This window comes from Homo sapiens, chromosome 3, assembly GCF_000001405.40.
Source record: "Homo sapiens chromosome 3, GRCh38.p14 Primary Assembly".
Taxonomy (NCBI): domain Eukaryota; kingdom Metazoa; phylum Chordata; class Mammalia; order Primates; family Hominidae; genus Homo; species Homo sapiens.
Genome location: NC_000003.12, coordinates 71,418,213 through 71,434,280, shown reverse-complemented (window position 1 = coordinate 71,434,280; position 16,068 = coordinate 71,418,213). Strand labels below are relative to the sequence as shown.

Genomic DNA, 16,068 nt, shown 5'->3' with positions numbered 1-16,068 from the left:
GGGGGGGCTCTAGGATCCAGTGCCTAACGTCATTATTTTCTGTATCTTTCACTTGGCATGTAACACATACTTCTTCAGAGCTCCTTATCTTTGGAGATGTATTTGTCCTGTTTCTTCAAGTTGGTCTGTAAACTCCTTAAAAGTCAGGACTTTGAATCTTGATCTCTTCCCATCTCCTGTTGGGGCTTTACCTAAGAAATATTTTGTAACTCTTTTTCTGTTTTTAAAAGCATTTGTGTAGTAGACACATTCATTATGGTGCTTGGTCTTTAAATAATTTTTCGAAACTAAAACTTGAGGCATATGAAGATAAACGATTGCAATTTAAGCCAGCCAGGAAGCTGTAACGTGGGCTTGGGTTTCCATTTGGCATGGATCTGTGGCTGATGCGATCTAAGCTTCCCTGTGCCATCAGGGGATGGCAGACAATGCAGGTAAGTGTAGACACGCCTTTGCTTGCCTGCCGACCAGGGCATTCACATTCATCCAGGTAACCAGTCAGGGAAGAGAAAACTCACGTGGGGGATTGGATGGGCTTGGAGCTGCTCTCCCGAGTAACAGAAAAACAGGCTAGCAGGGTTCCAGAATACATTGCAAGCTGGGGAGAACTTATCTCACCAGGGAGGAAAATAGAGCCCCCGTGAACCTGTTTTATATTCTGTTTGTATAGCATGCACGTTTTTAATGTGGATTTTTATTTTAGTTTACAGACCCTTCCCCCTTGCACAATCTGAGATTATTCAAAGTCTCCCCTGCCTGCCCTCTCTCTGATGTGTGATGTCAGATACTGAATGTATTGGAAGCCTTTGCATGTTTTTATTTCTCATGGTTGAACCCGTAAAGTTGTTTCCCTGATCAATTGCACGTGCATTTCAGGAACACACATGAAACCCTTGCTCTGTTCTGATAGACACGTAGAGTGTTTATACATTTAGAGACAAAGGGACACAGCAAAAGTCTGGCACCTACAGTCTGATTTTATAGTTTTAAAAACAATGCCTAAAGTGGTTGGGGGTAGTTCAGGCTGACTTGCTGTGTTTTCTTCAGGGTCCTTGTATGTCAATAGTTCATGACATGATTTTTACCATTTGATGGCTGAAGTCTTACATATGCTAACATATATGAGTTACATATAAGAACATGTATAGAGTTACATGTAATAACTCTACCATCATCACTAATTTGCCCATCGCTGAGAAGAGGGTAAAAGGACAAAATGAGTTACTCAAGTCACTATTTTTTTTTTAACACCAAAAGATCCAAGAAGACCAAGCAGGTACAAAATGATCAGGGTGTTCTAACCATTAGAATCATTCAAATTATTTTGTCTGTCTTAAAGCTCAGACTCTGGTATATCCTTGGAAACATTGCAAAGAATAGTTCCTCAGCCAAATCATGGGGCTTTTTTTTTTAATTTTTTTTTTTTTTTTTTTTAACATGTTCACATTTCCTGTCAGTGTTAAGTGTCGAACTGCTTTGAAGGCTTGACTTAGGAGCTCCACACTTAAGCCTGAAAATGAATGTAAATGCTGTAAATGCTGAGTTCTGCTTCTTTGGATGGGGGGGATAGGGTGCTTGGGGATGGGGTGAAGCGATCATGAGTAGCGCTGGTGATCTGATCCCAGGATTCTGGTGCTGCAGGCGCCCAGGGTGTTAGGCCCAAACCCTTTGAAGCCACAACTGAGACACTGGAGCCAGCCCAGGCCCTGCCCTATGTTAGGTGGGGCGTAGCCTAGGGGACCTGGTGGAATAGGAGCAGATTATTAGACTGGGAGGGACAGGAAAAGGAAGCGTCCAAAGGGAGAGAAGAATGAGGGTCATTGGGCCAGGGCCCGGGAGGGGTGCGTCAATTGTGCTTTGAATGTAGGGAGGGGTGCAAGGTCAGAAGCTGGTTCAGGGGTGGTGAGGCAGGGAAGGGGAAGGGGAAAATGCTCTGTGCAGGGCCGGGGAGGAGATGGAAAAATCAACTCGATGGGTGCAGGAAAGTAGCAAAAGGGAATATTCTGCGTCTGTGCTGGGCTGCCGTTCCCGGCCACGACAAGGTCAGCCGTGAGAAGTCTATGCACACCACAGTCGTCAGTGGTTGATCTCTGCATATCTCAATCCATCCTAGTTGCTTAGTGCTCTGTGGGAATGGAAGTTCTTGAGGACACTGATGTCAGCGTCTGCTTTCTCTAAAGAGTGCTCCTGGCACATTGTTTGGCCCTTAAGAAATTCTTGCCATAAATAGGTTTTCAAAGACTAGCAGCCTTAAGGGATCCTGCAGCTTGGTCATAGGTTCTCTCTGCTTCTCTGATGGTTCAGATGCAACACAGAATGACACCCAGGGGCAACACGGCAACAGGAATTGCACATATGATGGTGTTTAAATTTAGTCTTTTTAAAAAAATCACTCTATAGCTTTGGTTTTCCATAGACACTACACAATGAAGTCAGAATAAATACCTGGAAAGAAAAATAAAGTCAGGAAAAAGCCAGGAGGCCTGGATTCTGAATTTGACCCAAGGTCATCGGGTGACTTGGAAAAGTTAGTCTCCATTCGTCTTTGGTGTGTTTTGTTGCCTGTGAAATGAGTTTGCAGGTAGGAGTTCTGAAGTTTCTATTAACTTTAGCAAATACCTTTGGAAATATGTTTAGTTGTAGTAAGTATTCAAACCAGGCAATGGGGCTGTGTGGGACCAGATGGACCAGGGTTTGAATCTCTGCTTCGCCACTTACTTGGTTCGCGACCCTGGAAAATTACCAGATCTCTTGGACCCTCAGGTTTTCTATCTGTAAATTGGGCAAAAGTCATGGTAAGAATTGAGTGCCTGAAGCTCGTAGCTTAGCTAAGTGCCTAGCATGGTATGAGCACTGAGTCATCCAGGCCAGCTCTTATTAGGAGTATTCACTGGAGTGAAAAGTTAAGTCGCTGAGAAAACCACACAGGTACTTCCTGGGCAAGCATCTTCTCACACATTGCCACTTATTCTCGCACTCTGTCTATGGAGAATAAGGCTTCCTCATCCATGAAGCCTTCCCTGATTTCCTGCCCACCAACCAGAGAACGGCCACTGAACTCTGCTCCCATTGGAGATTTGTGATACTCCTCAAGAGTGGATTCCTTTTGTCTGTGCTGTCTTTGCATGGCTCATTTGCAGATCGACCTGCCTCCCTAGATTGCCTGAGCTTGCTGCATGCACGCAAGGGACATGTCCACCGGCTCATCTTCCACCACTCACCTCCCTGCCTGGTTCTGTCCACCATGCACCTTCTAAATGCTTTGTTGCAGTAAAATCAAAGTGGTGGGGTAGAATGTCTAGGAAAGTGTTTCATATAAATTGGAGGGGCCCATTGGTACAGGTGCCATATTTCCCGGTGGTTGTGGCTACTGCGTTGCTCTAAAGTCAGTGACCTGTAAGGCCTTCCCCTGTGGCCATTCTTGCCATAGAAACATGGGCCTGCCCCCCGCCGCCTCCCCTCCCCCAACAGCCCATGAGTTTGGGTGACAGACACCATAAGGCAGAGTTTAAGCCTCTTTTCCAACGTGGCAGAATGAGATGCTTTCTCTCTTTATTTTCCTAGAATCTGGGCAGGTAGTTTCCTCTTTTAGGGATAAGTCTGGGAGCTTGAAGTATAGAAGACCCTGAGATTGAAAATTTAAAATTCAATGTTGTTTTAAATCAAAGCAGGTTAAATAAGGAACCAAATAATTTCTAGAATAAATGGTAAAGAATGGACCCTACTGTAAGTGAAGTAACATGCGGATGACTCCTGTTTTTTTTTTTTCTTTCTTTCCTCTTGAACTTGGGATCCCTGCATATCACAGACAAGCATCAAAACCCAAGATTCAAATCTGTTACTGAATCCATTCCAGAAAAGTGGGGAAAAGCTACCAATTTGTCATCTGTTATAAAATTTCATAACCTTTCTTTTTCTGATATTTTGTACTATTATTCATTCGGCTTGCAATACTGCACCAGATTTGCGCCTGCTCATTTTACTGTGTGTGCATGGCTGTGGTCTTTATTTTATAAGTAAGGACCGTCGGATTGAGTTAGCAATGCCGAAATCGCTCACGCTGCAAAGTCCTCGAGTCAGGCTTTCCGTGGTATGGGCTGGCTATTTTGGGGTATGGTCAGGAGGGAGCCTGTAAAAAACCTGAATTGTCTCATTCCCAGGGTGGTCTTTCTCTGTCGAGGTTGTGGTCATTGTAGCAAGGCAATTTGAGAAAACCTCTCGTATCACTTCCTGTGTGAGCTTGGATGGAGGAAAAAGGAATCTTCATTTCCGAAAGTTGCCAGTTTTTCTAGCTTCCCAGTAGAGCAGAAGTAGCTTGGAAAGATTTTGAATTTTGTTTTTCACTGGATATGCAAATATGTTTGAGGAATGCTGGTAATGGGCTTGTCTTGAGGTTTTAGAGTGAGGAATAAACCACACATCATTTTTGATTGTATTTAATAAAGTGAATGAAAAAAGCCACCAACCAGGTGAGTGAGATCAGGCACCGTGGGGTGATTTAGCTGTCTTTCAATGACGGTGATTCTTGAAGACGAGTTCCTCGGAAAGTCTTATTTTGAGGGTTTCACCAAATTTTAGCTCAATATTTAGTTAACACAGACGAATCATTATGGAACATGTTAATTCTGTTTTTCCATTTTTATACAATCAGTCTAACATTTCCTTTTCAAATACAATACTCTTTCAGGTTTTGCTCCTAAGCTTTTTCTAACTTTCTATTTCTATTTCAATATTTTCTGCCACCCAGACATCAACAGATGGACAGGGACGTTTCAGTACCCCCCCTCCCGCCCCCCCACCCCCAAGTTCTCACGAGCAGCACACACAAGTGCTGAGTTCCGCCTCGCTGCCTGCTTCTTGGCACAGGCCTTTGATTCCTGAAATGCTCAGAGCAAACCAAGAAAAAAAAAGTGTTTCTCAGGTGAGCCTGTCCAAGAAGTTTTTTTCCTTAAAGAATAATTTCTTTTCCTGCTGTTCTTCCTCCCCACACTTCACCAAAAAGGGTGAAGACAGACAGAACCCAGACCCTCCCATAGTTTTCCTTCAGTGTCCCCTTGGGAATGATGTCACCTTGGTCTGGTTGCCCCCACCCATGGGCGAGGTTGTGGGTGATAACTCCATGGGCCATGCAGAGCATGAGGGCAGCCTGCATGAAGCCGGAACTCCCATCCACCTTCTCGTCCCCAGCCTGTGCCTTGGTTCTGATGCCTTCCCCTCGTGCTTGCCGGCTGTAATAACGGAAATAGCAAAAAATGTCAGCCGACTACTGTCTGCATGTCGGCACTAGTCCAGGGAGTTTCAAAGGGATGTTTTATTGATTCTGTAATTGCACAGTAGAATGGACGAGCTGAACGGGACCTCAGGGCCAGGAAAGCCCCGGCTTCAGCAGTGCCTCCTGGCCGAGCCAGGTTGTGGGGAGAGCTCACTGAGCAGTTGCAGCCCAAGGTGAAGTGTGTGCTTAACCCCTTCTTTCCAATGTTCCCCTTCAAGTTTCTTTTGTGTGTATGTGTGTCCAGGCCACATCTCATTGTAGGGATCACAAATGTTTAATTTCCTTTGAATCTCATGACCTGCCTAACTATTATTGTTTTATGACTCTGCTTCTTGAAGGGCTCTTTTCAAACCTTGGGCATGAAAGACATTTCATAGGGGGGCCTCTTTAGAACAATGGACTCTCAATAGGGACTTCTCATGACATTAAAAACCAGAAGGCAGGCCTCTGAACAAGACTTGTTAAGATACAGTAGCCCATTCTCTGCTAATAAGCTGATTGCTTTCCAAACCCGAAGGGGTGGACCAAGCTGTTTTGCCAAAACAATTGGAAATTAGCTCTGTCAACTTCTACTGCTGCCATATTTTGCACTGGCATGCATATCTGTACTGTTCCCATTAATTTGGTTACAGCAGGAAACATTTGGAACAAGGGCGTTTTTAAAACCAAAAAGGGATTGCAGAGGACTTGACAGAGTGTCCCACTTGGAGGTTAGGCGGGCAGGAGACACAGTTTCCAGAATTGCTTCATAATATCTTCCTGATCTTCATGGTCCTGTTGGGCAGAATGATGTTCAGTCTTTTCTTCCTGAATGCCTTGTTCTGAGGGTATGAGGGCTTTGAATGTAGATGGGACAGTCTCACCCTCCTACGGGAGGAAAAGGGCTCTTCCCTTATCACACAGTATTTATCAACTTGATTAAAAGCTATGATAGCAGTGCCTGAAGATGGGACTTGTTTCTGACTTAATTTACCCTCCTCTCTCCCAGTTCCACTCTTTACCTCAGTATAGAGGACTCTGAGATAGCCCTGTTTTGAGCTGATCTTTTTCTTGGAATTCATTTTCAGGTTCCTGGAAGATATTTTCACAAAGAATCCCCCCTGACCTTCATTCAGATCTCCACATAGGCATTTCTGAGATGGGATTTGTCATCTTTTCTTTGGTGCCTGCTCATCTTCCTGGGTTGCCTGCATTTGCTGATTTCATCCTCATCTGTCCAGTCATTCATGCCTGAAAGCCAGGCATCCTCTTTATTGTTTTTGACCCCTCACCCCTCATGTTCCCTTAGTTCCTGAATCCTGTGACTTCCGTCCATCGCTTGTATCATTCTCCTTCCTGAGCATCTCCTCTCATTCTGGTCCTTGGTATGTTTTGTCCATACAATTGTGATAGCCTGAGGCTGACAACTCTGCCTTTATATGTCCCTCCTGGAAGAACCCAAATCATATCACGTGTGTTTGTTCAGAACCTTCAGTAGCTCCTTTTTTTCACAAGAGAGCCCAGGCTCCCTAGCCCGGCATCCGGGGCCTTCTGTGATCTCCTTGCAAACTCCATCTGCGGCATGGTTTCCAGTTCTCGCTAGCTTTACGCTTTACATGCCCTTCGCTGCAGCCAGACCCTCTCCGTAGGATACCTCTAATATCACTGACACTCTCCTGCGCGTGTGTCCCTGCTCCTTTTGCTCTGTGTGAAATGCTTTGTCTCCCTTCTCCGTTTTGTATCCATTTATTCATTCATGTATTCTGCAGCCATGGATTGAGTACTATATTTGTGCCAGACCCTGGGCTACATATTAGATATATGGTGGTGACCCAAACAGCTGCGATTCCTGCCTTTATGATCTGTTAAGGGAAGAGTCAAATAATAAATAAACCAAGAGAGACATAAAAGCATAAATTGGGGTGATTATATGAAAAAAAAAATGCATCTGATTTTTTTTTTTTTTTTTGAGATGGAGTCTCGCTCTGTCACCCAGGCCAGAGTGCAGTGGTGCGATCTTGGCTCACTGCAGCCTCTGCCTCCCAGGTTCAAACGATTCTCCTGCCTTAGCCTCCTGAGTAGTTGGGATTACAGGCATGTACCACCATGCCCGGCTAATTTTTGTATTTTTAGTAGAGATGGGGTTTCACCATGTTGGTCAGGCTGGTCTCGAACTCTTGACCTTGTGATCTGCCTGTCTTGGCCTTCCAAAGTGCTGGGATTACAGGCGTGAGCCACCGCGCCTGGCTGCATCTGATGTTTTAAGAGACAGTGCAAGAAGGGGAACTATTTTAGAAGGACTTCCCAAGAAGGTAATTTTTAAGTGAAGTGTTGGAGGATGAGAGGAAGAACACCATGCATAGAATTGAGAAAGAGCCTTTTAGGCAGAGGAGACCTTGAGGTGGGATGAGCGTGTGTGGAAGGGATGGAAAAACTCTAGCACTTTCCCTGTTAAGTTTCCATTTTTCCTTCATATAGCCACAGTAACCCTCCCTTTATCAGAAACCACATTTAGTTGGCTCAGCTGGGTTCATCTCTACTTATCCTGTGCATTCATTCCACTTGGGTCGTCTTGTAGAAGACTTCTCCTCTTTGCCTAATACTAAATCTTTTGAATAGTCTCCCCTGAATTCTTTGAGGGCAGTGACTATATACCATACGTTTCCATGGTCCTTCCTGACATCTTCGCAAGGAGAGACTCCCATCTAACAAGAGTTTACAGATTGTTTGGTGATTTACTGGGGCTGCATATTTAGGAAAATAGCTTACCATTAGCCAGGAGTTGAGCTTATAGTGTTAATTCCCTCCCCTGACTCCTTTGCCTGATTCTTTCAATGTTCATAGGATCTTTTCAATCCTCAGACCTACCTGCATTTCCAGAGTGCCCTGTTTTCTAGCTCTTAGGTCAAGAGGTATCACCATCAAGTTAATATCCTCTTTCAACATCTCATAGGATCAGAGCTGGCATGATGAGAGGCTCATGCATTGAGCTGATGCTAGGGTATTTTCAGTCCTGGGCAGAGACCTGGATGAGCCAGCATGTTAGTCAAACCCAGCTGGCCTGCAGACTGTGGTCTTAAACAGGCCACACTATTGATTGATGTGGTTCAGCTATACGTGGGTGAGTGTACATGGTTGGGATCCTGGAAATTTGCAAGAGTTTGAATAAGCTCAATTTAATGGCCCTTCATGTTGGATGAATGTCATGGTAGAGAAAGAAATGAGGGCAAATGTTGAGGTATTCATAGATACTCATAAATCTCATGTCTTTTTCAGTTCTTTTTTTTTTTTAAGTGGTTTGATTGCCTTGACCAAATGAAATCTTACTCAGAGCCCCCCCACCTTTAAAATAAACAAAAGTTGAGTTATTATGGTTGAGTAAGGGCATGAGTTCAAAGCTTCTCCTTGTTTTTTTCATTCAGCAGATACTTATTAAGCATTTATTTTGCCAGGGACTCTGCCAGGAGCTGAGGAGACGGTTATACACCAGGAAGTTGAGGGAGTTCCAGCTCTGAGAAGTTGGTCTCCCCTCCCCACCCTCCACACTGCAGTGGCCCCTTGGAATGGATTTGGAAACCAGAGTCTGTATTAAGAACAGTAAAATGGCTGGGTGTGGTGGCTCACACCTGTAATTCCAGCACTTTGGGAGGCCAAGGCGGGTGGATCACTTGAGGTCAGGAGTTCGAGACCAGCTGGGCCAACATAGTAAAATCCTGTCTCTACTAAAAATACAACAACAACAAATAATTAGCCGGGTGTGGTGGCACATGCCTGTAATCCCAGCTACGCAGGAGGCTGAGACAGGAGAATTGCTTGAACCTGGGAGGTGAATGCTACAGTGAGCCGAGATTGTGCCACTGCACTCCAGCCTGGGCAGCACAGTGAGACCCTGTCTCATACAAAACAAAACAAAACAAAACGAAACAAAAAAAAACAGGAAAATGAAGACACCTTGTAGATTATTGTCTGACACTTGCAAGTTAGTAGATTTCCAGTATATGAATACAAATTCAAGATAGTGCTTTTTTTCTTTTTCTGAGTAAACACTGAGAGTATGGCAACTGCCATACACATTTCCCTCTTCCTAGAAAAAGCTTTCCCTGTTCTTGATCACTCCTTACCTCTTACAGTTGGCTTGTGACTTCCTCCCACCCCAGGCTGGACGTTGTTTCATGAAAGTGTTTGGCTTCTCCAATGGGAACATTGGATTCTTGAAGGCCAGGGCTGTGTCCTCCACTTTTGCTGACAGAAGCCAGCCCAGCATAGGCAGCAGTTGCTGGATGAATTCTGAGGACCACTTCTTCAGCTCGGCAGTGACACCAACCTTGTTTTGGTGGTTTTCCTATGATGGCTTGGAAATTAGTGGCAAAATTGGAGTGCGGATTTTTGTGGGTTTTTAAAAACCTTCTGACAGTTTTGGGTTTGATTAATACACCTCTGGAAGTTAGCTGCATTTTATGATTCTTAGGCATGGTGGTCCCCAGTGTTCTTACAGAACCACCTAATTTCCATGGTGTGGTGTGGTGGAAATATCACAAATTTAGAGTCAGGAGAACCAGACATGGAATCCTCTTTACCTGGCTGTGGGCACTGGGCAAAGCACTTGTTTCCTCATTGGTAACATTGCAAGGTTATGGTGGGGATTACAAATGAGATAGGGAAGGCGCCCTACCCAGTGCTTGCAACATCGCCAGAGCTTGCAAAAGATGGACATTATCCTAATTATGACTTGAAAGCCCAAATTGGGATTTATGATCTTCCCTGTTTGACTGCAGAGGAGGTGATGCCTCTGTTTGCCTGGTCGCCAAAATCATTGTCCCTTCCTTCTTGCTGCTGGTGAGACTATGGTTAAAGGACCATCCTTCAGCGCAGTTCTTTGTTACTTATTGAAAAAGGTTGGCATTCTGGCAGAAATGTTAGCATTAGAAATGTTTCTAAGCCAGGCCTGACAGCTTGGGCCTATAATCCAGCGACTTGGGAGGCTGAGGCGGGAAGACCACTTGAAGCCAAGAATTCCAGATAAACCTGGGCAGCATAAGGAGACCTTGTCTCTAAAAAATAAATATGTACATAAAATAAGTAAGAAATAAAAATAGAAATATATTTCTGCTGGTGCATCTTTATGGACTTGCGGGTATATTTAGGGCCATTCATGAAATCATGTGACCTAAGACAAGCTGATTAAATACAACTGAAGATGTCTCAGGCTCAGCTAGATCACACATAGAATGGGCGGGGCGGCGGGGGAGCATAATAGCACTTCCCTGCCAGGGTTGCTGAAGGGCTCAGTGAGGTGGGAGATACAGTGTGCCTGGGATGCAGATAACGTGACTGAGAAATCCACACAGGCCAGCCTGGGAGGCCCCTGTGTTGGCCCCATGGCCAGCTACCTCTCTAATTCTGGTTCTATGGCCTATGATTCTTTGTCAGGTCTGCTTTGTACCCCTGGTAGAACCATGTCTGAGCATGCCAGCCAGCAGGGGGATGCTCTTTGTGTGAGGAGAAGCTGGTCTAATCCCGGATATCCTATAAAGTTGAGCAGTTTGCGAGGGGAGACAGAGGACACGCCTTTAGGACTAATGTGTTTTTCCTTGGCAGAAGTCCAAGGTGAACCTCTGTCTTTGCCAAAGGAACACCGCTTCAGGGCCTGTGACTAGGATGTTCTGAGTGGCTGGGTTGGTCTTGGGAGTGGGAGCCTGGAGCCTTCTCACTTTGGATGCACGCTTGGTCTTGCTCTGCGATGCGCTTGGCAAGTTGCCACAATTCTTATGTCTCTCTCTGCTTCCTCATCTGTGAAATGGGCTTAATAGCACCTAGGGAAGGAAGAACTTGTAGGTGCTGTGTGGATTCATAAATTCACCCTCAGTGAGAGCTTTGAAGATGTGAAATTGTCTCTGGGGACTTGGAGGTGTTCTAAACCTGTTGAACCAGAGACATTGGCATCTTACTGGGTTGCCTGTAGCAGCTGGAGAGTTGGAGGCCTCAGATATTGGGCTGGGTGTTGGGCTTCAGGCAGCTCTTTCCTGGCTCCTGAATGAGTTTTAGTTTTCTCCAAGGAAATCTTGACTTGTCTTAGCTTACACATGGGGGTTTGTATTGGAGTTTTGGTTTGTGTTTTCTCCATATGAAAGAAGGGGTGTGTGAGTGTGTGTGTGTGTGCGCGCTTGTGTGTGTGTGTACCCAGAAATGGTAGGTAACTCTTACTGAGATGAAAGAATTTCAAGGCTTACACAGCCAAGAGAGAGGGCATTCACCCCTTTTTTTCTTCCATTGGTTAAGTTTGTCCCCTAGATCCTTCTCTGAAGTGTGGGAGCTGTACAGCACTACCAGTGAGTTCCTTCTCTGTTTAATTGGAAGGACTTGTTGCAGCTTGGGCGATTATTCTTTTTGGCTTTCTTTTCGATTATTTCCCCACACTTCAGATTCATTTGAAACAAGTTTTCAGCCTTGTTCAGGTGGAAACCTGTTTTCAGTTGTGGGCTCTCCTGACCTCACTGGAAGGGTGAGAAGAGAGGTGAGGACGTGGGGGAGGGACCCCATGCCCTCACTGCTCAAAGTGTGGTCCTCAAACGAGCAGCCGCGGCATCACCTGAGTTCTTATTAGAAATGCAGGGTCTCAGGCCCCACCCCAGACCGACTGAATCAGTCTTTTGCCAAGATGGCCAGGTGATTCACGTGCATTTAGGTTTAAGGAGCACTAGAACATTTTGGATTGTATGTAGTTTTTCTAATAGGAGTGAAAAGGGGGAGGGTTGTTGGTTGAGAAGTTCGTGTTTATGCTGATGCTGTTGCATGCTTCTCTCTTCTGAAGTGCCTGCATTATCACTCCCCTTGACTTCTAACTTCCTTACGTGTTGTCCTTGACTTGTGTTAGAAAGCTGTGAAGTGTGACTGAAACTAGCGGGTGAGTTAATGTTTCCTGTTCCACATCACACCATTAAGATGTCGCAGTGCTTGAAAGTAAAAGATGTTCAGCATCCCAATTGCGGGGTGACTGCAGACTGTCTTAAAAAGTTGGGCTGGGTTGTTTGAAAATTTCAAAAGGAAGCATCTCCTAAAATGATAAAATAGGAAACCAAGGCCACGTCAAGAGGGGATCAAATTATGACTTGCCTTCTGAGCTTTTCACATGGAGGTGCTCCATCAGCAGTTCAGAGGCAGCTGGGAGGCTAATCATAGGAGGGCCAACACTGGTCTGTTTTTGTTTAAGAGAATTATGGTAGGTGGTGATGGTTTTAAGAGTAAGTCAGCCATTCTGAGAGAAGGTTTGGGCAGTGGCTTGGTGACATCATCCCACTTGGATGAAAGAAGAGTCAAGCCAGCCTTTCTTTGGTCAGGAGGTCCTGAGACCAGCGGCCCCTCTGTTTCTAGTGTGAACCATTCACTACGCAGGTGTCTCTGTCCTGAGTCGGCTGGGTTCTGATGTTTGCATATTGTGGTTATCCTAAAATAGGATGCCCTGCCATTTATTGTCCTACGCTGGGGAGATGGCCCTCACACAATTTATGCTTCTTTGAAAAAAATGTCAAATTATATAAATTCAAGATTATTTAGGAAACACAAGCGATTTTGGTGTTCTTATTGAATAAAAAGATAACTAGATTGTTCTAGCACAGAAAAAATATTGAAACCATGTGCAACTTTATTCTTTTTTTCTGAAATTACGAACAGGGCATACATTTACCTGAGGGTAGAGGATGACATCGCCTAGCTAAATTCACCTTTAATGTGTTTAATTTTTTTTATCCTGATGTCAGAATCAAGGAAAATGATATTTATTCACTTTCCCCTGTAGTTTCTTTCTTGCTTTGCGCATTCTTACTTGGTTTTTCCCAAAGAATTTGTCGCTCAGGTCTCTGCTTCAGGAAACACCTAACTCTGGGAATGATGGTGACAGATTTTGCTTTGCTGTGTCTGTCCCTTGCAGTCCAGTAGCATCCTTGGGGACATGGGCATTTCTAGTCTCATCTCAACGCTATCCTAGGGTGAGGCTTTGTGGCGTTCTGACATTATAGAGCTTGAGAGGAATGTAAAAAAACTTGTAGTCCGTGATTTCATTCACTGGGCATAGGGCTCACCAGACATGGGTTAAGACAGGAGGTAGAACTCACATGGTAGCCTGGGCAACATAGCAAGACTCTGTCTCTACCAAAAAATTAGCCGGGCATGGTGGCAGGTACATGTAGTCCTAGGTACTAAGGAGGCTTAGGTGAGAGAATTGCTTGAGCCCAGGAGTTCAAGGCTACAGTGAGCCTTGATTGCTTCATTGCATTGCGGCCTGGGTGACAGAGTGAGACCCTGTCTCAAAAAAAAAAAGAAAAAAAAGGATAGAAACTCAGATGCTTAAGGTCAGGCAGGAAAAGCGACTTTATTCATAATCCTTTTGCTTGCTTTGCTGATCCACTTGGGCAGGGTCTGGTTGTTTTACATACATATATGTAGAATGTGTGACTATGTTTGTGTATATGTTTATAGGTGCGTGTATCTGTATGTGTTTATGTGTATGCATAGAATTTTTTTCACCATTTTAAGGAGTCCCATGATAGGAACATTTGGGATGCACAGACTTCATCTTCTACACAGCTGAGGACACTGATGCTCAGAGAGGTGAAGTGGCCCCTGTAGCATCCTGATGGAATTAGAAATCATGCCACCTTCCTGCTACTTGCCCTAATATTAGTCTCATCACCTTCCATGTCACTCTTTGTGTGGCTAGACCATTGCTTGTCAAACTCCACACCCTCATTTTTGCCTCCTCTTTATACATTTGTAGTATAATATACCTAATATTTTTCCTGTAAATTGCTTTTTAAGTTTTCATCATTAGTTATTTTAACATTTTTCATAAGAGGAAACTTCAGAATTTGGCTGTAAATGGAAAACTAATATGATGGTGGGCCAGAAAAGAAAGAACACTATAAAAATAAATACCTGGTCGGGCGCAGTGGCTCCCAACACTTTGGGAGGCCAAGGTGGGCAGATCTCAGGAGTTCGAGACCAGCCTGGCCAACATGGTGAAACCCCGTCTCTACTAAAATTACAAAAATTAGCTGGGGGTGTGGTGGCGGGCGCCTGTAATCCCAGCTACTCAGGAGGCTGAGGCACGAGAATCACTTGAACCTGGGAGGCGGAGGTTGCAGCGAGCCGAGATCACGCCTCTGCACTCTAGCCTGGGCGACAAGAGCAAGACTCTGTCTCAAAATAATAATAATAATAAAAAAAAATACCTAGCTCCTAAAATGTGTGTGTGTGCATATATGTATGTGTATGTACATGTATGTGTATATGCTCATCCATTTGCCACCTAAAACCATCCCACTTACCACCCGGGGTACTTGCAGCACACTTTGGGAAATGCTGAGTTAGACTAGAAACCTCCAAATCAGTTTGCAAATGATGTGGTGAATGGAGAGACGAGTCTCTAAATGTCATTGCCCTTGGTGCACTGATGGTTGAGTCTAAGAATGTTCATGGAGATCCAGTTTCTTTCTTACCTGTTGAGAGCAGGTGTTAGGTATGGCCTTGAGTCAGACCAGCACAGTTTTACCCATGGCCTACAGCTTCTGTAAACATCTACTTTTTTTTTTTCTTTGTAGTTCTTCTACAAAGATTAGAGGCTGTTATTGGGAATATTGTTTTTCTTTCATTCCCCTTATGTGTCACTAACTTCTAATTCTTAAATTCTTAAGATATATAACCTTTCAAAAATATATAACTGATTGAATAGATGCTGTGTTTTCTTTTTCCTTCCCTCCCCTCCCCTCCCTTTTTTTTTTTTTTTTTTTTTTTTTTTTTGAGATGGAGTCTCCCTCTGTCACCCAGGCTGGAGTGCAGTAGTGCAATCACAGCTCACTGCAACCTCTTCCTCCCAGTTTAAAGTGATTCTTCTGCCTCAGCCTCCTGCTAGCTGGGATTACAGGTGCCTACCACCATACCTGGCAAATTTCTTGTATTTTTAGTAGAGATGGGGTTTCACCATGTTGGTCAGGCTGGTCTTGAACTCCTGACCTCAGGTGATTCACCCACCTTGGCCTCCTAAAGAGCTGGGATTAATAGGTGTGAGCCACTGCACCCGGCTTTTTTTTTTTTTTTTTGAGACCGGTCTTTCATATATTGCAGAGGTTGGTCTGGAACTCCTGGCCTCACCCTCCTGAGTATCTGGTATTATAAGTATAAGCCACCATGCCTGGCAGATGCTTTCGTAATTTTTGTGATAGTGACAGTGATATTGTGATTTCTTAATTCTTGCGATAGTGACAGTGGTATTGGTCTCAAATGGCTAACTGGACAAAATATTGTTGCCTCAAATTAATCTTTTGGTTTAGATTTATATCCTACCTTTGAATTTTGATAATTGACAGTTAAGTAGTGTTTAGATCTGAGGTGGCCATGATAAAATATGTTGGTTCTGACAGTTACTAATTTCTTCCCCTATTAGCTCTTTTGAGTGAAGGGGAAAATACACCGCTTTTAACACTTCAGAATAATTATAGAAAAAAGAACCAGCATTGAATTATTATAGGAAACAAATTTTTGTTTTCTACCCTTGCCATTTGAACCTAGCTCCCTAAAATGAATGGTAGATTTAAATTATGGAGCCCATGAGGGAAAATTTTTTAAAAATGCTGCTTTGCCATTTTTCCTGTGCAGGAGAATATGCAAATGGCCTTTCTGTGGTCGCCCTGTCACAGCCTTGTAAAGGTTCTGTGGGGATCCATGCATCTTGTTGAGTTGAGCCTTGTGCCAGCTTGGAGGGTTTGATTGTTTTTGCTAATAGAGACAGATTTTGTCATTAGAGACACCGAAGTGTGATTCTG

General features: G+C 44.2%; 1 protein-coding gene across 10 annotated transcripts in view, besides 1 other annotated feature; it reads left to right on the top strand.

The window, feature by feature from the left end:
• The window catches only part of FOXP1 (forkhead box P1), a 629,271-nt gene that overhangs the window by 149,698 nt on the left and 463,505 nt on the right, over nt 1–16,068 (top strand). The window lies entirely within an intron of this gene.
• Nucleotides 12,232–12,281: an enhancer, noted in NCBI's record as "active region_20061". NCBI's record gives its function as "activates an Ori minimal core promoter by ATAC-STARR-seq in GM12878 lymphoblastoid cells {active_cell/tissue: GM12878}" and the evidence as "EXISTENCE:reporter gene assay evidence [ECO:0000049][PMID:35858748]".